Source organism: Homo sapiens, chromosome 5, assembly GCF_000001405.40.
Source record: "Homo sapiens chromosome 5, GRCh38.p14 Primary Assembly".
In the NCBI taxonomy this organism is placed as follows: Eukaryota; Metazoa; Chordata; class Mammalia; order Primates; family Hominidae; genus Homo; species Homo sapiens.
In genome coordinates this window covers 96902190-96927482 of record NC_000005.10, presented here as the reverse complement: position 1 = coordinate 96927482, position 25293 = coordinate 96902190, and the positions used below count along the sequence as shown (strand labels likewise).

The 25293-nt window shown below is 38.6% G+C and overlaps 2 protein-coding genes across 11 annotated transcripts in view, besides 1 other annotated feature; one reads left to right on the top strand and one right to left on the bottom strand.

Annotated features, from left to right (window-relative positions):
• Positions 1 to 25293, top strand: part of ERAP1 (endoplasmic reticulum aminopeptidase 1) — a 175042-nt gene that overhangs the window by 8372 nt on the left and 141377 nt on the right. The window lies entirely within an intron of this gene.
• Positions 7324 to 7373: an enhancer, noted in NCBI's record as "active region_22823". NCBI's record gives its function as "activates an Ori minimal core promoter by ATAC-STARR-seq in GM12878 lymphoblastoid cells {active_cell/tissue: GM12878}" and the evidence as "EXISTENCE:reporter gene assay evidence [ECO:0000049][PMID:35858748]".
• ERAP2 (endoplasmic reticulum aminopeptidase 2) overlaps positions 7767 to 25293 on the bottom strand; it is a 43733-nt gene continuing 26206 nt past the window's right edge. For 4 of the 6 annotated variants that reach the window (NM_001437802.1, NM_001329229.2, NM_001130140.3 and 1 more), the window contains 8 exons: positions 25130 to 25209; positions 23923 to 24106; positions 18366 to 18522; positions 17719 to 17903; positions 14685 to 14846; positions 14026 to 14166; positions 11714 to 11795; positions 7767 to 10021 (listed from right to left, as the gene is read on the bottom strand). In NM_001437802.1, the coding sequence (NP_001424731.1) occupies positions 9878 to 10021; positions 11714 to 11795; positions 14026 to 14166; positions 14685 to 14846; positions 17719 to 17903; positions 18366 to 18522; positions 23923 to 24106; positions 25130 to 25209 (1135 nt within the window). In that variant the 3' untranslated portion in view covers positions 7767 to 9877. Of the gene's footprint in view, positions 10022 to 11713; positions 11796 to 14025; positions 14167 to 14684; positions 14847 to 17673; positions 17904 to 18365; positions 18523 to 23922; positions 24107 to 25129; positions 25210 to 25293 lie in introns of all 6 variants that reach the window. The other 2 variants (NR_137637.2, NM_022350.5) reach the window with 2 other exon arrangements.

The window sequence follows — 25293 nt, the reverse complement described above, 5'->3', positions numbered from 1 at the left end:
AGCAAAGGATCTGAATATTATTTCTCCAAAGAAGATATACAAATGGCCAATGAGACATGAAAAGCTGTTCAGTGTCATTAGTCATCAGGGAAAAGCAAATCAAATCCAAAATAAGCCACCACTTCACATCTACTAGGATAGCTACAATAAAAAAACCAGATAATAGTAAATACTGGCAAAAATGTAGAGAAATTATAAGCCACATACACTGCTGATGGGAATGTAAAATGGTGTAGCTGCTTTCAAAAACAATCTGGCAGCTCCCCAAAAGGTTAAGCAACAGTTACCATGTGATCCAGCAATTCCATTCCTAGATATATACCCAAAGGACCAGAAAACTTATGCACATTCAAAAACTTGTACATAGACTGGGTGTGGTGGCTCACACCTGTAATCCCAGCACTTTGGCAGGCTGAGGTGGATGGATCACTTGAGTTCAGGAGTTCAAGACCAGCCTGGGCAACCTGGTGAAACCCCGTCTCTATGAAAAATAAAAAAATTAGCCAGGCATGGTGATGCATGTCTGTAGTCCCAGCTACTTGTGGGGCTGAGGCGGGAGGTTCGCTTGAGCCTGGGAGATCGAGGCTGCAGCGAGCTGAGACTGCACCAGTGCACTCCAGCCTGAGCAACAGAGTAAGACCCTGTCTTGAAACAAACAAACAAACAAACAAAAATGGTAGATGAATGTTCATAGCTGCATTATTCACAATAGCCAAAAAGTATAAACAACACAAACGTCCATCAACTGATGAATGGATAAATAGAATGTGAAACATTTATATGTATAATAGAATATTATTCAACAATAAAAAGAAAGTACTGACATGTTAAAACATAGATGAACCTTTTAAAAATTATGTTAGGTGAAAGAAACCAGTTACAGAAGACCATATATTGTTATTATTCCACTTATTTGAAATGTATTGTATCATTCCATTTATATGAAATGTCCAGACTAGGCAAATCTATAGAAACAGAAAGTAGATTAGTGATTTCCTTAGACTGAAGGGAGGCAAGAATGGGAAGTGTCTGCTAATAAGTATAGGGTTTTTTGTTAGGGTGATGAAAACATTCTGAAATTGATCGTTTTGCTAGGCACTCAACCCTGTGACTATACTAAAAACCATTGAATTATAAACTTTAAATGGATGAATTTTATGCCATGTAAATTATATCTCTGATATAAAACTGATAAACTGATATATATGAAAGACTTGAGGTTATACTTTTTAGAAACCATAATAACAATGCTTGATTAAAATGAAACAGTAATGGCTGGGCATGGTGGCTCAAGCCTGTAATCCCAGCACTTTGGGAGGCCCAGGTGGACAGATCATGAGGTCAGGAGGTTGAGACCATTTTGGCTAACACGGTGAAACCCCATCTCTACTAAAAATACAAAAAATTAGTCGGGCGTGGTGGCACGCGCCTGTAGTCCCAGCTACTTGGGAGGCTGAGGCAGGAGAATCACTTGAACCTGGGAGGCAGAGGTTGCAGTGAGCCGAGATCACGCCACTGCAGCCCTGGGCGACAGAGCGAGACTCCGTCTCAAAAAAAAAAAAAAAAAAAAAGCAAATTATACTGTGAGTATCTCCATTCACCATTGCTCAAGCAAGTTTGTTTTCCCCCATCTGGTTGCTACTATTTAAAAAGGTACAGATTTCATTCAATTAAACACTAACCTATTTAGAAACAGAAATGCTATAGAAAATTCTACAGGTATAGATATATCATTTCCATTTTTTCCCAAATGGAACCCTAAGCCTACTAGAAATGCTTAGAAAGAAATCTTCACTCTGGAAGTCCAAACTGTGGTGACTGTTAAATTTCTTGAAGGAGCTTGTTAACAAAACAGATTTCTGGGCATTGTTCCCCGAAATTTCAATTCAGTTGGTCTGAGATATTGCCTAAAATCTGCATCTTTATCAAGTGATTGTGACACAGGTGGTCCTCAGATAATCCTGCACTGAAGGAATTCTAGGGTAAATAAGGAGCAGTGTGTTTAGTAGAAACTGCACTACATTTACTACAGGGTAAATGAAGGGCAGCCCAGGACTGAGGTGAGAGCCTGGGCCCTGGAGGTAGACTCTTAAGGGTTCAAATTCTGCCTCTGCCACTTCCTACCTCTGTGCCTGGGGCAAGTTCCCTGAGCTTCACTTTCTCCTTTGTAAAATGAGGACAAGTACCCTCACAGAGTTAGTGTAAGGATGAGACAAATTCACATAATTATACTTAGAACAGAGACTGGCACAAAGTAAGCACTAAAGATGTATTTGCTGTTACTATTGTATGTGAATTATAAAATTTAAATACCATGTAGATCACTTGCAAAGAAGTTTAGACTTGTAATAGCAAACCAATTTCTATAACGGTAACATATTCCAATCTGATCATTTAAAATAATGATGTGCTGGCAAACCAAGTTTTCGGTGTTGAGTTGGCATCTAAGCCCTAGGTTGGATGGGGCCTACCTAGGCCAGGAAGTGACTAGGATGATGGGCCTACCTATATAGCCATAAAAAGCAATCACAGCCTTTCTTCCATAAAAGTCAGAAGATAGAAAAAACATTTTTTGAAATGATGTGGGCCAGGCACAGTGGCTCATGCCTGTAATCCCAGCACTTTGAGAGGCCGAGGTGGGTGGATCACCTGAGGTCAGGAGTTCAAGACCAGCTTGGCCAACATGGTGAAATCCCGTCGCTACTAAAAATACAAAAATTAGCCTGGCATGGTAGCAGGTGCCTGTAGTCCCGGCTACTCGTGAGGCTGAGGCTGGAGAATCACCTGAACCCGGGAGGTGGAGGTTGCAGTGAGCCGAGATCACGCCATTGCATCGCTCCCAGCCTGGGCAACAGCAAGACTACATTTCAAAAAAAAAAAAAAATCTGTTAGCCCGAATTGTTATTGACTTGCTCTTTCTAGAGAGATGTTTATACTCTTGAATATTCTGATTTAGTTTTCCTTTTTGTTTGTTTCTTACAGCTATGCTAAAATAAAGCTTGCCCAAGGTTCACTCCCATAAAATGTGTCCTTGAGCTTTTTGTTTGTTTTTTAGCTTGAGAAGGTCCTATAATATTTGTGCTGAAAATTACATTTGACTATGATTCTTGGCTGACTCTCAGCTGATTCAGGTGCTTTTTTCCTCCCTTTGGCTGATGGTTGCCAGCACAGGCTGTCAGTCAGTCAGCACCATTTATGGAGGGCCCCTGGTGTGCAGGGCCTCAAAGAGACCTCAAAACAAAACAGGAGCTAACGCTTCACTTTTATGGCACATACAATCTATTGGGCCAATCAGGACAAGCACACAGGATACATACATAATACATGAAACATGACACAGACATATACCATCGTGTACTAGCAGGATCAGCCTGAGGCAAATTTTCCATTTCTTCCTCACTTCCAGGTGCTGCTTTACAGCCGACAAATATTTATCAAATGACATCTGTGTAACATCCTTGAGTAAGTGACAGATACTGCCCTTAATTTCCTCCTACCCAACCAGTACTTTCTAAGCTATTGGCCACTTTCCACAACTCACTCCCCAAGCCCGTCTCCCAACTTCAGGGTCCTCTTTCTCTCCTCAGGGCCCTTTGCTTAGCTAGCTATAAAGAAATATTAATTTTTTAAGATGTCACACTAAAGCATGACTAGTGAGTTACAATGTAATATTTTAACTTTTTATTAGTCCAAAGGAATAAATCTATAATGGTGAAATTATAAAAGAAAAGGCAACTGGATATTTTGACGTGTATGAAGTTTCTTTCTTTTTCTTTTTTTTTTTTTTTTGAGACAGAGTCTCACTGTGTCGCCCAGGCTGGAGTGCAGTGGCCTGATCTCGGCTCACTGCAAGCTCTGCCTCCTGGGTTCCCGCCAGTCTCCTGCCTCAGCCTCCCAAATAGCTGGGACTACGGGCGCCCGCCACTGCGCCCGGCTAATTTTTTGTATTTTTAGTAGAGACGGGATTTCACCGTGTTAGCCAGGATGGTCTCGATCTCCTGACCTCATGATCTGCCCGCCTCGGCCTCCCAAAGTGCTGAGATTACAGGCGTCAGCCACTACGCCCCGCCTGAAGTTTCTTTTTTTAGACAGCACGTTTTAGGTTTGGATTTGCAAGGCCAGCACTGTTGCTGTTATTTCTTTCCAGGTCCTCAGTGAGACCGAGGGGTCAACAAATAGTATGTTTCCCTTGGTCTTAAAATCCAAACAGCCAGGACCTGGCGTGGTGGCTCACACCTGTAATTCTAGCCCTTTGTGAGCCCAAGGCGGCAGGACGGGAGCTTGAGACCAGTGTGGAAAACATAGTGAGACCCCCATCTCTACAAAAATTAAAAAATAAAAATTAGACAGCCATTGTGGTGCACATCTTCAGTCACAACTACGTGGGAAGCTGAAGCAGGAGGATCACCTGAACCCAGAAACTGAAAGTTACAGTGAGCTACGATCGTGACACTCCAGCTTGGTCAACAGAGCAAGACCTTGTCTCAAAAAAAACAAAAAACAAAAAACAAAAAACAAAAAACATCCAAATAGTGAGGCCTCGCAGAGGCACAGTTGTTTGAAACTAGAAGAATAATATGCTCGTCCTACCTAATAATGGCTTCTCTGTAAGATATAAGTTATGCGCTTTGATTAGTAGTTGCATAACTTTTATCTACAGATAACGCACAACTTAGAACAAGAATAAATAAATACAAATCTTTAAATGCTATCCAGCCTCTTTCACTAACAACTTATTCATTGTTGCTTGAGTAACTCTAATTTAGTCTCTGAGTGTGAGTGAAGTTAACTCACCCGGACAGAGGGTCTGACAACTGCGAGCTCTGTCTGGTTCACATAGATTGTGCACAATTGTTTCAAACCAGATCTTTCTTTTGATTCCTATTAGCTCAAGTCTCTCTACCTGTTTGCCCCCAGCCAGCTAGAAAGCCCTGTTTGTCCTTCTACGACTCCTGCTTTTAGTCTTTGGCTCTACATCTGAAGATATGAATAGAAAGAAAATAAAATTATATGCCAGCAGTCTTATGTGCCCCAAGCCTCATCCTGGCCTTTTTCCATTTTTGAGTTTTAAAAGAGTGTTCTTTCTATCCTTTTCCCAACTCCAACTCAATATATTAGAGACGAGATAGAATTTGCAACTTAATTGACTAGAAAACAGTTTTTTTTGTTTTTGTTTTGTTTTTTTGAGACGGAGTCTCTCTCTGTCGCCCAGGCCGGAGTGCAGTGGCCTGATCTCGGCTCACTGCAAGCTCCGCCTCCCGGGTTCGTGCCATTCTCCTGCCTCAGCCTCCCGAGTAGCTGGGACTACAAGAGCCTGCCACCGCGCCCGGCTAATTTTTTGTATTTTTAGCAGCGACGGGGTTTCACCGTGTTAGCCAGGATGGTCTCGATCTCCTGACCCTGTGATCCGCCCGCCTCGGCCTCCCAAAGTGCTGGGATTACAGGCGTGAGCCACCGCGCCCGGCCTAGAAAACAGTTTTTAAAGCGGAATACAGTTTTAAAACTGAGAAAAAAATGTCCTTTGTATGTTTTCAGTATTTTCACAGACAATTTATTCTGGCCAACTCAAAATGAAGTTTATAATTTTAACTGTGGTATTCTTTGGATGACTAAAGGGACATACCAGGTGCTATTACTATGGGAATTCCTTACGGAGGAATGAGCCTGAAATATAGTATTGAAAGAAAGAAATATGACATAATTCAACAGAGGAAGGCATGAATTTTGAAGTGTGGGAAATCATGTGTGTAAATAACAAGATGAGAATTACTGAGTCATGTACTGAGAATAGAAAACCAGTTTCCTGACCTTCTCTGTCAGCATAGTAGAGGATTAGGACATCTGGAAGAAAGAAGAATACATTTGTAAAAGATCTTGAATTTATGGTTGGGAAGGAAAGATTGTAGAAACGAGTAAGAAATAAAATGTTTTTCTACCTTGTTTGTTAGTTAAGTATGCATTTCTCAGACTTTCTAAAGATTTCTCACTATGAATACTAAACATTTTCCTGATTTAAATCCTAAACAAATGATCTGTTTATACTGCCAGCTTTCTAAGTATAATGCAGACTTAGGTATTTGTACATAAGAAAATAAATGATTATGGTTTCTGGGAATATGCTAGAATAGATACCTTAACTGACCTTCCTGCTAAAAATAACTAAAAATGTAGAATAAAATTATTTTAATGCATTGATGACCTGGAAAGTTAGTAAGGAATACTCTTGGATCAGAAACTAAGTGAAGGCAGGAATCCCAAGGGGTAAGCCGAAGGCTGAGGCCAACTTTCACCTTGAGAGCATCTGAAGCTTCTGTTTTTATGCCTTCGAGAGTGCTGGGGACAGATGACAAAGCCCAGGGCCTGCCCAAGTTAGGGAGCATAATAAAAAACAAAATTCAGGTACAGTCTCTTTGCAAAAGACTCATCTAAAACTAAAGGATCCAGAAACATATCAGGGGAAGTGGTAACTTAAATATTACTAGAGATCAGAGTTTAACATCTGGTACTGACAGCTACAGAATGTATGAATAAGAAGAAAGTGAATTAACACCCTTTTAAGGAAACTACCCAGCACAGACTATTAAAATAGAAGATTATATGAAATACACATATGCTTCGACCTAGTAAAGCCACTTCTTTCATGATCCTTTTCAGACTTTCTTCCTTATGATTTGGAGACCTGGCTTTGATGAGATTAAGATACCAGGAAGCAGACAACCAAGTGCATGATTGGTTTAAAGTTTGTAAATGTATAAGTTGTAAACCACTATATGTTGAAATTTTAAAAATAGTGATACGTGGTTACATGGATGAAAGAAGGTCAATAAAGAATAGAAGTGAAGGAAAAGTAGCAGAGTAAAAATGTGGCCATTTTGAGCAGGCTTATGTTTGGTAGACATTAGTGTTCAGGTGGAAAACTAGTTCCTATGACTATTTGGAGGCTTGCCCTATGGCTGGGGGTGGGATAAAACACAAAACAAAAAATTTAAAAGACCAAAAACCCCTGGAACTTCCTCAGAAAATCAGGATTCCTTGCAGTAGTTTCTGGCCAGTTCTGCTCATCTAGAACCTCAAATGGGCTCAATGTCATAACAAGGAATGAAGAGCAGTAGCATGTACTGATATAGGACAAGAAAATCCTTACCATGGCAGTTAGACTCCTTTTTTTTTTTTTTTAAATGACAGGGTCTAGCTCTGTCACCCAGGCTGGAGTGCAGTGGCATGATCTTGGCTCACTGCAACCTTCACCTCCCAGGATCAAGTGATCCTCTCACCTCAGCCTCCCGTGTACCTGGGATACATGTGCCACCATGCTAGGCTAATTTTTGTATTTTTTTGTGGAAACGGTTTCGCCATGTTGCCCAGGCTGATCTTGAACTCCTGGGCTCGAGTAATCCCCCTTCTTGGCTTCCCAAAGTGTTGGGATTACCTGCATGAGCCGCCACACTTGGCTAGTTAGACTCTTGAGGGTCAAAGTGTCCACTCTTCCCCATACAAAGCCATTGGTTCTGGGCTTTCATAATCTGAAAGATTTCTCATTATGAGTGAGTTGCTGGAACCACATAATTCTCAATGGGCCTTGTGAAGAATGGGGGAGGCCCAGAGAAGTCAAACCTGTTCACCTCATCATATATTCATGATCTTGCATATAACTTTTTCACATCTGATTCATTCAGGGTAAAAGAAAGTAAAAGTAACACAACCAAGTCTGAAGTTGGTGTTGGTGGCCTGGCATCTACCACAAGGCTTTTGAAATACTACACTAATAAGTACAATACATTTATTTTTAAAAATCTATTTATTTATCAAAACAGTATTGGCACAGTAATTCTCATATTATCATCAAATAATAAAATTGCTACTTTCTGTACTCAATTCTTTAGAATCCTAGAAATTGCAAATGCATTCAATTTAACAATATTGTAAATAACAATACAAAAGAAAGAACTCTGCATATTTATGGAAACATTGTTGATGGTACAGTTCTACTGAAACTCATACACATTTCACTATTTAATTTACATATGGTCTTGTTGAAAAAAACCAGTATGTTTTACTTTTTCAATTTCCTTATGCTAAAATACATGTAATTCTAAAGGATATCTCTTAGGTGTTATAAAAACCAAGGAAGGTCCACCACCAAGTCAAAGTTAGAGTCAAAGATACTTCAAAGATTCCATGAAATGATCTGAAAACAAATTTAACCAAAAAATGTGTACTGTATTGGGGCACATCCATGGCCACCCAAACTGTATTCTATCTCTGACTGTGGCATCAAAGAAAGGTATATGGAATTATAATTGACCTTCATGATATTGCTCCAAAGTGGATTGACTAACACTTTCCCCTCTTGACCCAACATCCCAAGTCTTCCTTAATAATGCAAACATCAGTCATTTACATATTGTTTTGAGTCTTTCTAAAACTTATCTGTATTTTTATACTGTCTCATATATAGGATCACAAATTAAGTTTACTATCTGTATGTAGAGTGATCTTTTCTTTCTTTATTCCAAACTACCTTATTCAAATAATTAAGAGAAGCATTTAGCAGGGCATTTCAGAGAGCAAGAAGCGCCCTTAAAAGAAGGAGGTGGGGGGTTTCCTTAAAATATGAAGAAATGCTAAAGCTGGGTTATAAAATATGGTGCTGCATCTAAATATTTACATTCAATTATCATTTAACCGAAAATACACAATACAATCTAATTCTGCAAATTTCAAAAGATTTATTAAAAATGCAATAGTGTATGAATTATATTCCTTTCTTGTGTCTCTGTGAGGGCAGATTCGACTTCATTTGGAATGATCTCAAAAATCTACCCTTGAGGTACTTCATGAATGTAAGGCTTAAACCAAATGGTATGAATTATATTCCTTTTCCTTTTGTATCTCTGTGAGGGCAGATTTATTCATTTGACCATTCATTCATTTGACCAGAGACCATTCATTTGGAATGCTCTCAAAAATCTACCCTTGAGGTTCTTCATGAATGTAAGGCTTAACCCAAAAGGCCTTCCTGGCCTTCTTGATAAACCCTGACACCTAGTTTCTAATAATCTGAGATTTGGTGGCAAAGTCTCTGGTTTCCTGATCCTTGCCTTTCATAGTTTGTATATTTTATGCATTGGCTAATTTTCCTTGGACGTAAAACTGGTTGGGCAAACTATAGAATACTAAGCAAGGTTAAAAAAATTAAAGAAGCAAAATAGTGGCATAGCGTGAAGCAATGGAGAAAGTCACTTGAGGCTAAATAATTACAGCTGTATCTATATATCTATGTCTGTATCTCCACATATATCCATTATTCAGGAAGTTTACTTTTAAATAGGATACTGAACTGGCCTTCCCCCACCACTCCATCATCATGCATCTTTTGGCTGGATACGATAGCTGAGAGCAGGCAGCTGCACTGCCTGATTTCTTGAGACTTCTTGTTGGTTAGACAAAATATCCACAGCTCTTGACTTGAGCTTCACTGGTGTTACCCTGTTTGACTTCATGCAGGCAGTCATGTCTGATGTACCTTTTCTTTTCTTTTCTTTTTCTTTTTCTTTTTTTTTTTTTTTTTTTTTTTGAGACAGAGTCTCGCTCAGTCACCCAGGCTGGAATGCAGTGGTGCAATCTCGGCTCACTGCAAGCTCCACCTCCCGGGTTTATGCCATTTTCCTGCTGCAGCCTGCCGAGTAGCTGGGACTACAGGCACCTGCCACCATGCCCGGCTAATTTTTTGTATTTTTAGCGGAGACGGGGTCTCACCGTGTTAGCCAGGATGGTCTCCATCTCCTGACCTCGTGATCCGCCCTTCTCAGCCTCCCAAAGTGCTGGGATTACAGGCGTGAGCCACCGCGCCCAGCCTACTTTTTCTATTGACCATTTAAGTATTAACCATTAGCCAAGTCCTCAGAGTCGGAAGATTCTTCTCCAGCCATTTTATATTTTTGGTTATCGTTTCCAGAACAGTTTGAAAAATATCCAGATGTGATCCTTGAGCCTCAAGAGATTCAAAAAATAGTTTCACCTGTAAAATATTGAAGAAAAAAATTACTAACACTTTGTCTTGGCCGAGTGTGGTGGTTCACACCTGTAATCCCAGCACTTCGGGAGGCCAAGGTGGGCAGATCAATTGAGCTCAGGAGTTCAATACGAGCCTAGGCAACATGCCAGAACCCCTGACTCTACAAAAAATAACAACAACAACAACAAAAATTAGTCGGACATGATGGTGCATGCCTGTAGTCCCAGCTACTTGGAAGGCTGAGGCGGGAGGATTGCTTGAACCCAGCAGGTGGAGGTTACAATGAGCCAAGATGGTGCCACTGCACTCCAGCCTGGCTGACAGAGCGAGGCAGTTTCAAAAATAAAGAAACAATAAAACCACTTCGTCTTCCAAAAATTTTCAAAAGAGCTTGCAAATTACATACACACAGGTATAGGCATTTCTCTGCCAACCTCTAAAAGGTTATTTTCTACTTTTCTGCATAATTGTTCACTTTATTTTCAAACAATAGGTAAAGTAAGACAAAAATTATAAATCCTCATCTTACAAGTGACCACAATGTGGCTAAAGAAGTTAAATGATTTACCCAAGTCATAGAGTAAATGGTGAGCTGGGATTTAAGTTCAGGAATTCTGAATTTGCCTAAAGGGTAAATAAATTCAAGATTTATTGTGAAAAGAAGGTGCAAAGACTATAATGCTTTAAAAAAAAAAAAAAGATAGGCTGGTGGCTCACGCCTGTAATCCCAGCACTTCGGGAGGCCAAAGTGGGTGGATCACGAGGTCAGGAGATCGAGACCACCCTGGCTAACACAGTGAAACCCCATCTCTACTAAAAAAAAATACAAAAAAATTAGGTGGGCATGGTGGCAGCCTCCTGTAGTCCCAGCTACTCGGGAGGCTGAGGCAGGAGAATGGCGTGAACCTGGGAGGCGGAGCTTGCAGTGAGCCGAGATCGCAAGCCACTGCACTCCAGCCTGGGCAACAGAGCAAGACTCCGCCTCAAAAAAAAAAAAAAAAAAAAAAAGATAACTAGAATTACCAACAATAGTTTTGTTAAAAAGATCATTAAGTACGCTTCCAAACTTTAATATAATCACTCTTGCATCGTAATACAATATGAAAGAAATAATACAAAAGGGCTCACCTCTCAAGTCTATTTTCATTTTGAATGCTATGAATACACGTATTTTAAGTATTTTAAGAGTCAGGGGCTTTTTTTTGCTGTTGTTTTTTGTTTTTGTTTTTGTTTTTTGTTTTTTTGAGATGGAGTCTCACTCTGTCACCCAGGCTGGAGTGCAGTGGTGTGATCTCAGCTCACTGCAACCTCCGCCTCCTGGGTCCAAGTGATTCTTCTGCCTCAGCCTCCCAAGTAGCTGGGACTACAGGTGCGTGCCACCACATTCTGCTAATTTTTGTATTTTTATTAGAGACAGGGTTTCACCATATTGGCCAGGCTGGTCTCGAACTCCTGACCCCATGATCTACCTGCCTTGGCCTCCCAAAGTGGTGGGATTACAGGTGTGAGCCACTGTGCCTGGCCAAGTGTCAGGTTTTAATCCTGTCCCTTCCATTTACTTGCTATATGGCATTGGACAAACAACTTTTTTAAAAACTAAAATGAGAACTTCAAATCAGATTATATCTAAGTTTACTTTCAATTCCACAATTTGAACATTTATTTTGAAATTGTTAAAAACAGAAAGTCACAAACCTCTTGCAACTTATCCTTGGAAGAAAAGTGAGCTGTTGTGCCAGAGATGATCATCCTTATGTCATATGAGCCCAAGTCAAATCTGAAAATAAAAAGAAACACCATAGAAAGTCATAGAAATACTGACCTTATGTTTATTATATCATGTATTATATTTTTAATGTATATTAATAACTATGTGATAAGCTTGTGTATTACAATAGATACGGTGAATTACCATAATAACATTCATCCAGTACAATTCTAAAGCTGTGAAACTTATCAAATTTTACTATAAAATGAAAATGTAGATACAGCTTCTTTGGGAAATATGGTTAGTTATTCAGCAATGTTTATGTTTAATTTTATGTTTCTGTTTAAAGCAGTGTTCCCTACTTTTTTTGTTACTACATACTCCAGTCAGTAAAGATTTTTTGAGCAAGAACTTCCCAATATACATATTTTTATTTATAAATTATATGGGCTGGGCGCGGTGGCTCACACCTGTAATCCCAGAACTTTGGGAGGCCGAGGTGGGTGGATCACCTGAGGTCAGGAGTTTGAGACCTGCCTGACCAGCATGGAGAAACCCTATCTGTACTAAAATACAAAAAAATTAGCTGGGCATGGTGGTGCATGCCTGTAATCCCAGCTACTCAGGAGGCTGAGGCAGGAGAGTCACTTGAACCCGGGAGGTGGAGGTTGCAGTGAGCCAACATGGCGCCATTGCACTCCAGCCTGGGCAACGAGAATGAAACTCCGTCTCAAAAAAAATAAATTAATTAAAAAAAATTATATGCATATGTTAAGGTATGGTAAAAAAATTAAAAGCATGAAATAAATAATGTATTTATTTAACTTTTTATACTATATATCATTTATGTTTATAAATTTATAACAATATAAAATTTAAAATTAGATAAGAAATAATAGACACTCTAATGTATTGCACTTCTTGCACACTTCCTCATCCCATTTTGGATACCACTGTGTTTAAACATTGTGTTTAGTGGGGCAATGTTACTTGGTTGAACTCTCATTCACGGCCACAGAATGCATCCTTCAACCCAATGTTTTATATATGGAAAACTTGTACTACAGGTCAAAGTGATTCATGTTGATAAAGCAGAGCACAGTTACAGCTCAGAAAAAAATATGGTTCCAAGTCTAGGCTCTGCACATGGTTGGGCAGGGGCATCATTTCCTGTTTAAAATGAAATCCACAGCATTGTAGATTAAGGCTGATCATTTCAGGAGGAAAATGACAATCATGAAAACAGACAAATCAATGGCTCAAGTAGAGTTTTAAAGGAAACATACACAAACATACATATTAAAGCAGTTTCTATTTGGTCTCATGTGGACGTCAACTCCTTGAGCATTTGGGAGAGGAGTGGAAATGTGCTTTTTGCTTACGCAAAGCTGTGTGAGGACTCTAAACCTTCCACGGCTATGAAATGAAAGAGAAGGAACTAGGAATTAATGATATCAGGGATGCTAACTGACCCTGACATAAACAAAGCAAATCATACCTCTCTGATTCAAGATATTTTCATATAAGTCATAAATGACATTTTAGATTTGGATGAGGAATGGCTGAATGCCTTATAGGGTTTTGTGATTGTGTGTGTGTGTGTGTGTGAGAGAGAGAGAGAGAGAGACAGAAAGCAATGCTGTCTTATACATTCCATTCCAACAAAATCTAATCATTATTGGTTATTTCTGAGGGATATTTTAGATCCAGGAACATATTGAAATGAGCTCCAGTTCTCCCCAAAGTTGAAACCCCAGAAAAGACTCAGAACCAAAACAATTTGGAGGGAGGGCTCCCCAAACACTCCTGACTAGGTTTCTTTCACCTGAACCAAGGTCTCCACTGTGCCACCTCCACAGGGGCTCTAGGGGTGAGGAGTAGCTCTTACCAAAATTCCTGAGATTTTCCCCCAGTACAAAACTGCATTAACAAATGAGGCCACATATGTGTGATGCACTATACAAGGCATCTTGGGATTCTTCTGGGCTGAGGAGAGAGCCAAGAAGGGATGGTGGGAGGGGGCTGATGACTGCATTTAATTCAACTCGGACTTGATGCCAGTGGTTTCTTGCCTGGACTGAATGAGAGAAGGCTGTTTCCCATTCCCTTATTCTCATGTCTCTCCCTTACTCCTGGACAGGATAATTTGGGCTAGGGAGTTTCAAAGTTGACTCCACTGAACTATTTGGATACAAATGGTATTATTTATATGCTTTGAGAAACATTTGATTACACTTGGTTTGAGGCAACTGAGACATCTGCATGGAAGAACAAACATTGGATGAAAATGAATACCAACTTTTTCAGAAGATGGGTCCAATTTTCTCTTACAAAATCCCATGCTAGTTGCTGCCCCTTTGGACGTCTGGCAATCGCATGAAGGAGAGCTGCCAAGTTCTGTGTCTTGATAACCTTTCCTTCCATTCCTAGTTCAATTAACCTGAAGAAAGAAAAATAATTTGTTTCTAAATAGTAGGTATTATGTACATGGACATTAACTCAAGCCACCAATATATTAAAAGAATAGAACAGAAAGAGGCATGATAAAAGTATAATTACCAATTTTTTAATGTTTCAATTAAACTTTTACTTTTTTAGAAATAATTTTTATTTTGTTCCTATCAAAAACATTTACTTATTATTTCAAATAAGTTTGATTAGCATCATTTACACATCTTATATGCAAGAATGTATTTTTACAACAATAATTTTTCTTCAAGTTTCTGAAGATAAAACATAACCGCTTGTCTAGTCTCAATCATATGATTAATAACTAGGGAATACCTGTTTTCACTATTTGCATTTTGTCAATATATTCTTTTCTGAAAGTAAAGTTAAAGCCATACACATTCTGATTCAATTATCTTATGCCTTTAAAACTGGTGGCTGAAGTTTTAGTGACTTCACTGAATTTGTGTCAGTTTACTTATAACAATTTAGTTAAATTATTGAACTTACTTCAGTAACTTTTCCTGATGCTTGCTCGTTGACAAAGCATACAGAATTTTGTTTTGTTCAGCACTTGACATTGACAGTTCATATTGCTCTAAAAGGTAATTCCATCCTGCTGTTGTCTGAGCACCCACAGAATACACAATCTTTAAAACATCTGTTGGTATACTGTAATATCAAGCATAAAAATGAAGAAAAAGTTTTATGAAAGAAAAACTTTTTTCTTATGACAATTTTAAGTCCTATAACACAATAATCTCTGAACTGCTTTCAGTACTCAATGTATTAAATCTTTTTCTCTGCCGAACTCTTATAAAAATATTTTATGTGCTTTTACTCTGCAAATTATTTGTGTTTTATCTCCTACTGATGATAAAATGTTAGCAAGAAAATAAGCATAAAATTTTAACCTACTCTGAGGTGAAAATAGAAAGTTGATGTAATCAACAAATATAAAAGCTTTCTGAAATACAAAACTACTGGTTTATATAAATTCTATCATTTAGTGGCCACTATTGGTGCTATAAGATTTTTTTTTTAAAGATGATTACTTGATGCTTTTTTATCACCAAGTTGAAGGCATTTTTTTCTTTTCTTTTCTTTTTTTTTTTTTTTTGAGGTGGAGTCTCACTGTCGCCCAAGCTGGAGTGCAGTGGCGCGATCTGGGCTCACTGCAGGCTCCGCCCCCCGGGGTTCACACCATTCTCCTGCCTCAGCCTCCCGAGTAGCTGGGACTACAGGCGCCCGCCACCGCGCCCGGCTAATTTTTTTGTATTTTTAGTAGAGACGGGGTTACACCGTGTTAGCCAGGATGGTCTCGATTTCCTGACCTCGTGATCCGCCCGCCTCAGCCTCCCAAAGTGCTGGGATTACAGGCGTGAGCCACCGCGCCCGGCCATTTTTTTCTTTTCTTTCTTTCTTTCTTTTTTTTTTTTTTTGAGACAGGGTCTTACTCTGTTGTTCAGGTTGGAGTGCAGTGGCGTGATCATGGCTCACTGTAGCCTCAGCCTCCTGCACAATCCTCTTGCCTCAGCCTCCTGAGCAGCTGTGATTATAGGCACATAGCACCATGCCCGGCTAATTTTTAAATTTTTTTGTAGAGATGGGCTCTCACTATGTTGACAAGGCTGGTCTCAAATTCCTGGGCTCAAGTGATCTTCTTACCCCTTGGCCTTACAGGCATGAGCTACGGCACTTGGCCTAGTTGAGAGCATTTTCTGAGGCCTGTCTGGGAGTCATCTGACTCTCTAGGCCTAGAGAGTCTTAATTTGGTACAATTCATTAGTGTCTAGTTATTTTATAATTTTTTAAAACTGTTAAGATGCAGTGACATGATTTTCTGTCCTTCTACAAAAGACACCACTATTTTGATTTTTATTATCTTGAGGACATTAACCAGTTTTTATTCTAAGTGGGCATATGACTTTTTAATCCCAAATGTCAACGGATCAATAAGAACTGTTATTGATGTCTCAGAAAAAACACAACACAGAGCATTGAGGAGGGAGCCAGAAATTTGCATTTGTCACAAAGTGACCATATGGTAGAGATTGTACTAGTCTCCATACCTCTTATTTAACTGTCAAAAGCTACCCTCTGAGATAGTTATTATCCTGATTTTTTTAAGCGGAAATAAATCTCAGAAAAGTTAAGTAACTTGCACAAGATGACATAATTTGCCATTTGCAGATGGGATTTAACCCTATGATTCTAATGCTTTGGCTACTTCCTCTATACTATATGTACTTAAATACCCCAAGTGACATTTGAATAATATAATAAAGATCAAATAATTATAATACATATTGTTTTCATTTTAGTGTATTTTGCTGAACAACTTTATAACAATTGGTAACAAACACATTGTAAGCTTCTTGAAGGTAGGCCACATGGTTGTTTTGTTCACCTCTTTATCCTTAGCTCCTACAGCAATACCTGGCTGGCATAAAGGAAATGTGCAACTAGTTACATTTCAAATCCACAAATGAATGAAGTAATCAATTAATCTATGTAAAGAAATTCTTCATTAAAATTCATACTAGCAATCTTGGAGTTTAGAAAAAACCAACAATATTTAATCACATATTTTTGATTGTGAGCATAAATAAGTTTACCTAGAATATTTTCATAGGTATATTCAACATGTTGAACACTTATATCTACTGTAGGTAGGTTACTGCAGGTTAAGATTATCTTTCTTGTAACTAGCATAAAGATGAAATAATAGTATTCTATTTTGTATAGGGCAGTAGGATGTTTACATTTTAGCTTCACTCATACAACCCATTGAAACAGAAACAAAAAGAAGAGAATAATAGATTTAAAAGGTTTTTTTTTAAGTTTTTTTTTTTCTAAAACTGATTTCAGGCTTGAATCCCAACAAGGAAAAAAAGTCCAAAAAGAAGAAAACTTGAATTACTTTTTTAAAAAGAAGAATTCAAGAAAGGATTTCAAAAAGCTCACAGATTTAGTTATAGCGAGAGAAGTTATGATACCATCTTATAATAATTTGGCACAGGAAAAGTTTTTTTTTTTTTTTTGAGACAGGGCCTTTCTCTGTTGCCCAGACTGCAGTGCAGTGAAGTGATCTTGGCTCACGGCAACTTCTGCTTCCCAGGTTCAAGCAATTCTCCCACCTCAGCCTCCGAAGTAGCTGGGATTACAAGCGTGCACCACCACACTTGGCTAATTTTTGCATTTTTAGTGCAGACAGGGCTTCACTATGTTGGCCAGGCTGGTCTTGAACTCCTGACCTCAGTGATTCACCCTCCTTGGCCTCCCAAAGTGCTGGGATTATAGGCGTGGGCCACTGCATCCAGCCAGCACCGGAATAATGGACACCATTACATTTCATGGTAGAGATTGTACTAGTCTCCATACATAGCACTTACAATGTGAGAGCATGAAACAGGGTTTGTAATGCCCAGCATGTTTTTTTTTCTATCCTCACTAAAAGGTTTTAGACCTAATGTCTTGCTTGATCAAAGACTTTTACATCAAAGAGAAAAGAACAAAGGGTAGGACAGAAGTCTACATCTACTTTAATTTTCCACTGGATTCCATCCACTGGGAGAAGAGTTCAGCAGCTTTCTGGATGCAAGGAGCATGGTTCAGGTCACAGGCCAGCTTCAAGAGAGCCGAGCGGAGCATCCTGTCCCAGACTGAGCCCTTGTCACTCCAGCTTTGCCTGTCAATCACTGGCTTAAAATACTGAAGAAGGTAACGCTGCAGAAAATATGAGATGGTTAACAGAGAGGCTAAATTTAGTCCTTAACACAGTTCTTGCCCATCTAAAGGGCTCAACTCTAAACTTTCTGCATCTTTCCCAATCTTTCCCCAAACAGTGTATCTTCGTATTTCTCTTATCTTTTTCTGGCTGTTACCCACCATACTTAGGAAACAGTTTTTGCATTTAAACATGGTTTAATTTCCTATCTGAAAGGGGAATATCAATGGATATAAAATAAAATCACCTTTAGTAGAGATGTTTTGCACATGATCCTGGTATCTAGCTCTTAGGATTGGCAATGGTAAAGAACAAGGGTCATTGACCATTACATGCTATCAGTCAGTCCCCCGAGCTGCTCCAGATTTAACCTCAAGGACTTCACACAAAACAAACTGAGCCTGACTGATACTCCAGACACTGTGTATTTACTTAATACATTTTCTAAAAGCAACACAAACCTTGAGGTTTTCAGAGATATCTGAAATATTCCTTCTGTCCATCATGTGGTAAAACGATTCCAAGTAACTCAGACCTTCGAGAAGTGCGGGGCTGCTTGTTTCATGTTGGAGGTAGTAAGTCATGTCAAGAGCTTTGTCTAGGGTCAGTCTCCCTGCACTGAAGTATAAAACAAATGTCAGTGGTTTGTGCATATCTTATAGTTTTTAATATTTTTAACATTAAAACAAATATGAAATAGAGAACAATAACAGAAGTAGGTCATTATAGCTGGGCCATTCAGTTTAAATCTTAGCTCTGCCACTGACTAGCTGAGTAATCTTGGACAAATTACCAAACCTCTCTGGACCTATTGCCTTCTTTATACAATGGGGATAATAATACTATCTTCCTCATAGGCTTGTTGTGAGGATTAATGACCTAATATTTTAAAAAGCATTTAGAATAATGTCTACCACATAGCAAAAGGTTAATAAATGAAATAAATATTAGCCAATATTAACATTTAGTACCAAATAATATCAAACTTTTTACACATGATTTCATTCTCTAATTGCTTCATGTGTGGGTTTGACTTGTTTCTCCAAGTACATTGGGAACTTTGAGGACAGGTGCCATGTCTTGTTTTTCTTTGATGTTTGTCCTTAATCCTATCAGAGAAGCGGTAATCATTGTGAATAGGACAAAACAAGTATTTTCATCTTTTAGATTCTAAAGTTACATGCCTTCTCTACGTTTTCTTCTAGTGAGAAGAATAAATAACAGGTTTATTATTCTAAGTACAAAATGCTGGGGCATCTTCTGTAGAGGAAACGAACGATTATAACCTCACTATTGGAAAGTGCTCCTCAGGTGTGTTTCTGGGAGGCTATGTTGCACACAGAGTCTATAAGCCATTCTTGTGAACACCCAACTCCCAGAATAACACAATCGTGTGATGTGGAAACTGATTCCAGAACAAAGGGTGTCTCCTCTGGGCTTATCATTAACATAGTGCTCTACCTCTTCTGGGCTTATACATGTTTTAAATTCCTGTCTAAAAAGAGGGAACAGAGACCAGAAGGAAATGAAAAAGAACCAACTTTTGTTGTCCCTTTAATCTTCTCAATCACGATGACTTGCTGCTTTAAAACAGACTTATGGAAATTTTTTTCAAAAATTTCACCTGAAGACGGAAGGCTGGACCATATACTCCATGATTCTGTGGTCTGCCATATATATATATTTTTTTTTTTTGAGACAGAGTTTTGCTCTTGTCACCCAGGCTGGAGTACAATGGCATAATCTCAGCTCACTGCAACCTCTGCCTCCTGGGTTCAAGCAATTCTCCTGCCTCAGCCTCCTGAGTAGCTGGGATTATAGCCATGTGCCACCATGCCCAGCTAATTTTTTGTAGTATTAGTAGAGACGGGATTTCACCATGTTGGCCAGGCTGGTCTTGAACTCCTGACCTCAGGTGATCCACCCGCCTCGGCCTCCCAAAATGCTGGGATTACAGGCATGAGCCACCTGGCCCGGCTAGTCTGCCGTATTAAAAAAAAAAAAATCCACAAAATGTTGCTACTCCTTCCCACCTGTGTGAGCAGCACAATACCTGGCACAGTTGATACCTTAGCATCAGCAATAGGCAGAAATGATATTCCAGGGCCACAATTTTAAGAAGAATATTTGACATATTAAAACTACTTTATATTAAGCCAGTTTTTCTTTCCAGCCCAGCCTAATTGATTTCTTACTAAAATCAATGCCATTATTAAAAATACTTACTTTTATAGTTGCCTATTTCTTTTAATTTTAATATTTATTCATAAGGGACTCCTTTTCTTTTTATATAGTTACTGAGTTGTTTAATTAAAAAATCTAAGTCCTCATTACTAACCCTATGCTTCAAAAAATGCATAGAATGTTATCTGAATGTTTGTTTAGCTTAAAGAATAAAACATATATAAACATAAACCTTAGCTCAACAGTAAAAGTCCACACCTACTTACTTGTATATGATTTCAGCTAGATTGTACCTTTGAGAAATAACATCATATTCTTGAAGCACCAATTTGGGTTTTCTGTTTTGTTTTGTTTTGTTTTGTTTTTGAGATGGAGTTTCACTCCTGTTGCCCAGGCTGGAGTGCAATGGCACAATCTTGGCTCACTGCAACCTCTGCCTCCCGGGTTCAAGCGATTCTCCTGCCTCAGCCTCCCAAGTAGCTGGGAAGGCACACACCACCATGCCCAGCTAATTTTTATAATTTTAGTAGAGACGGGGTTTCAACATGTTGGCCAGGCTGGTCTTGAACTCCTGACCTCAGGTGATCCACCCGCCTTGGCCTCACGAAGTACTGGGATTACAGGCGTGAGCCACTGCGCCCAATGTGGGGTTTTCTCTTTAAGGTGTGGGACTAAAAGAAACAAATATAGCTTTTTCTATAGGCAAATTGAAGTTGTCATTTCAATTCCACTCAACTTATCCAAGACCCCTGTCTTTAAATTACATTTAAAATGTATGAAAACCGAACTAAAATAAATATCAATTCTTGCATCAAATTCTCTCTCCATTCTGGGTGCAGTGGCTCACACCTGTAATCCCAGCAATTGGGGAAGCCGAGGCAGGAGGATTGCTTGAGCCCAGAAGTTTGAGACCAGCCTGGACAACATAGGCAGACGCCATCTCTGCCAAAAAATTTAAAAATTGGTTGGGCATGGTGGTGTGTGCCTGTAGTCCCAGCTACTCAGGAGGCTGAGGTGGGAGGATCGCTTGAGCCCAGGAGGTTGAGGCTGCAGTGAGCCATGATCGCACCACTGCACTGCAGCCTGAGTAAAGCCCTTGAAGAAGAAGAGCAAAGCCCTTGAAGAAGAAGAAGAGGAAGAAGTAGAAGAGGAAGAGGAAGAGGAGGAGGAGAAGGAAGAGGAGGAGGAGGGGGAGGAAGAAAAAAAAAAGAGACAGTGTCGTGTCGTGGTTAAGAGAATGGCTCTGGAGACAGCCCTTGGATGACAATGTCTTGTCCACTAAAGAACTAAATAGTATCACCTCTTGTAAAGATTGATTTACACTGGGTGTGGTGGCTCATGCCTGTAAACTGAGCAATTTGCGAGGCTGAGCAGAAGTGCTTGAGGCCAGGAATTCAATATCAGCCTGTACAATATAGGGAGACCCTGTCTCTACAAAAAAAAAAAAAAATTAAAAAGAAAAAAAAATTATCTCTCCAAACTAAATGTGATCACTATTGGTTCCTTTGATTCTTTTTTGTTTGTTTGTTTTTTGAGACAGAGTATTATTCGGTCACCCAGGCTGGAGTTCAGTGGCGTGATCTTCTGGGTTCAAGCGATTCATGTGCCTCAGCCACCCAAGTAGCTGGGATTACAGGCGTACACCACCACACTGGGCTAATTTTTTTATTTTTAGTAGAGATGGGGTTTCACTATGTTGCCCAGGCTGATCTCAAACTCCTGGCTTCAAGTGATCTGCCTGCTTCAGCCTCCCAAAATGGTAGGGTTACAGGCATGAGCCACTGTGCCGGGCCTCCTTTAATTCTTAAATTGAAGTTTCATAAAGCAGGGAGGAAAGTGGTTTATAGTATTGAGAAAGAACAGCAAGTAAAAATTATTTATTTTTATCTATTATGAGAGCTTTAAATTGTTTTCTTATACAATTACTTTTGTTATAAATGTAATATAAGTAAATATAAACAAATTTCAGAACAACTAGAAATTAGACTCATAATTACAAAACAACCAGAAATTAGAGAAGGCTCATAATTTCAATACCCTACACACTCAACAATAGCATTTTGAAATAATTCCTTCAGGTTTTTGTTTCCCCTTCGCACTTATTTTTTTCATTTGTAGTTGCAAACAAACATAATAATACACAGACTTACATTCTGCCTTTTTCTCAACTTCACATTATTTGAAGTGTACTTTTCTATGTTGTCATCTCCTCCTCCTATTCATGTCATGACATTTCAAATAATTTGTATTAGATAATACTAATAATGTTAACAGCTGACATTTATTGAGTAAGTACTGCACTTACTGCTTTATCTTCATTACCTATGCAATCCTCCAAACCTTGTATATCGGATATTATTAGTAATAAAGTTTTAAAGACTGGAAAATTTAGGCTTAAAAAGGTTAAAAAAACAAAACTTGTCCAAGCTCAAAAAATTAGTAAGTGAAGAGGTAATACCTGAAATCTTCTTGAAATTTTCATATAAAATTTGTATTCTTAACTTCATTAATCTGTCTACTTAGTGAAGAAAAGATGATTAGTTTTCCACCAATGCATCAATAACTGCAAATTTCCTCCTACTAAATTTAGACAATCTAAGTGGATAGGCTAGAAACAGCAAAAAAGATTTCACAACTACCTAAAAGATTAATTTGCTGAATTGTCAATATTCTCCATTTTTTCCAAGTCTTGCATTGTTAATCTATCTTCTCTTCAATCTACTCAGAGCTTCTCCTTTGAGCAGGCAAACCTCCTTCAACTAGCAATAGCTTGCTTCTTAGCTCACCTTTCATGCATTCACTCATATGTAGGATGGTGTTTTTCCTAATTTTGGCCTCCAATGAGCTATGCCTCCAAGATGTTCCTGAGACCCACGGGACTGAGGATTAAGCCTCACTTCCTCTTTTCTTTCTAACTAGAGGATTTTAGTGTACCGAGAAACTTTGTCTCAGAGATGTCCTGCTGGTCACTTTCACTCAATTTGACCTAAATAAGCTCCTGAAAGAAAATTATATGTCACATTGAGTAAAGTGAGTGCATCACAGTAATTCTCAGAATAGGGAAAGCTTGCAATGCACAATATACTTCCTGGTCCTCAATTCCCTCCAGCCATTGGTGATCTTGTGACCTGATTCATTCCACACATTATTCTGTTCATGATACATAGAAAAAGAAAGAAAACACTTTGTCCTTCCAGGAAAGTCTAGAGAGGAATGAATGCAAACAGCCATTTATTACTTCATTTCCCTACAAACGTCATACTAATTTCTCCAGTGTAAGTAATGAATAGATTTCATAACAACCCATTTAAAATTATAAAAGTTAAGACTATATTTGTACTTTTCCTTAAGAGATTACACCGGTATTTGGTGTAGCAGCTAATAACATAAATACATTTTAAATGTGGGGTCGAAAGCTCAAATACTTAGAGAGTCCACACTAAGTGAATGAAACAGGCCATTTGGGACTTTGGTGCTTGGGAGAAAGTAGGCCTGGCCTAAAGAGAGTTTGGCCCACTGCACTCTCCTTTATAGCTATCCTGTGGCCCACAGGATAAAGACCCACAGTTGCCAAATATCATTTTTAAGAGATTCCAGAGGTCAGGATTTTTAGGTAAAGTTCTCCACATTTTAAAATATTGGATTACAATTATAAACACTGTGTGGGTCAAAATACGTTATTAGTGGGTAGTCTTTGGCCTAGTGATCACTGTTTGAATTCCATTCAAATCCATATTAAATCAATGACCAATGTTGAACATTCAATATTGAAGTCTAGCATATCTGGTTACGAATCAGTTATTTTGCATGAAGTCAGAGGAAATGTTGCCTTACCCAACTAGCTGAAACACATCATGAATCAGACCTACTCTGTCCTTAGGTCTGAGAAGTGTGTGGTTCTGATTCAGCTGTGTAATGAGTTGGTCCCATCCATGACCCTCATAGTGAACGATGTAGTAACCATTTGAGTCCACATTAAATTTCACCCAACTGGTCTTTTCAGGTAGATCCAGAGTATCTAAGAGGATAAGATTGGCATAGGCATTTTATTATCAACAAACTTATTCAGAACATCTCCAGAACTGTTATTTTTAATCAAATTACTTATAAATCAATGGGAAGATGAAGTTTGGGGAGAGTCATAATGATATTCATTTTCGTAGTTCACTGGATGATTTCTTTTGGAAAGATGGTCTTATTAAATTAATAAATAAGTTAATTCATAGGAATAAGACTGCTGAATTTGTTCTAAAAAATTGTCTATGCAGGTCTAAGAGACATGCAAGGAAGGGCCCAGTGAGCCAGATGACTAGCATGACGGGAATTTGGCTTAATTTGATGATGTCCTTGTCTCAAGGTTTAGTCACTAGTCATTGAAATATGTATGTGTAAATAGGTGATCCATTTGTTCATTTTAGTAAAGAAGGACTCCAGGTTAAGCATGACTTTGTGACGGAAAACCTCTCAAATTTTATTAAAGTGTTTAGAAGAAAATTAAAATTATACTATGTATTTTTAATGTGGCATATATTATACTAGAGGGTAAAATTACATTATAATATTCTCTCAACAACTCTGTGAGGTTTAGTCTTTATTCAACATAAGATGAAAAAATTGAAGCTCAGGATGAGTGTGTACATTTTCTTAAGGTCACACATCTAATAAGTGAGAGAGTGAGGACTTGAATCCAGAAGCAATCAATTTTAAAGTATGTGCTTTTTTCCACTGAACATTTTTTGCCTTATCCATAACCTGTAAAAATAGATTAGTGGGTATTATAAGACATAAGATAGATTTCTGTTATTTCTTGATGTAAATAATCTGTCTCTAAATGATAAAAGCGCAAGAGAACTTCCCACTGAATGAAAAATCCAGATTTTCTTACTAAAAGAGTTATTTTAGTAACATATGGATAAATGACAACTTCCCTCAAATATAAATCTTTTATTGTTAGATTTACTTATTGTATCGTTCCTTCAAATAGCTCAACACATGTTTAATTTCCACATTGAAATACCTGTTTGGCTAATTAGTTCATTACCTGTCTTTGATTTTAGAATGTGTCTGTGGATCACATTAGAAGAACTCGTGGAGTAGGTCAATGGGATATGCCACAGGTACCTATGACAGAGAGTAAAGATAGTTACAGACCAAAAGAATGCTGCTGTGATTTTTCACATTGTCAGACTCAGACAGACTGTAAAA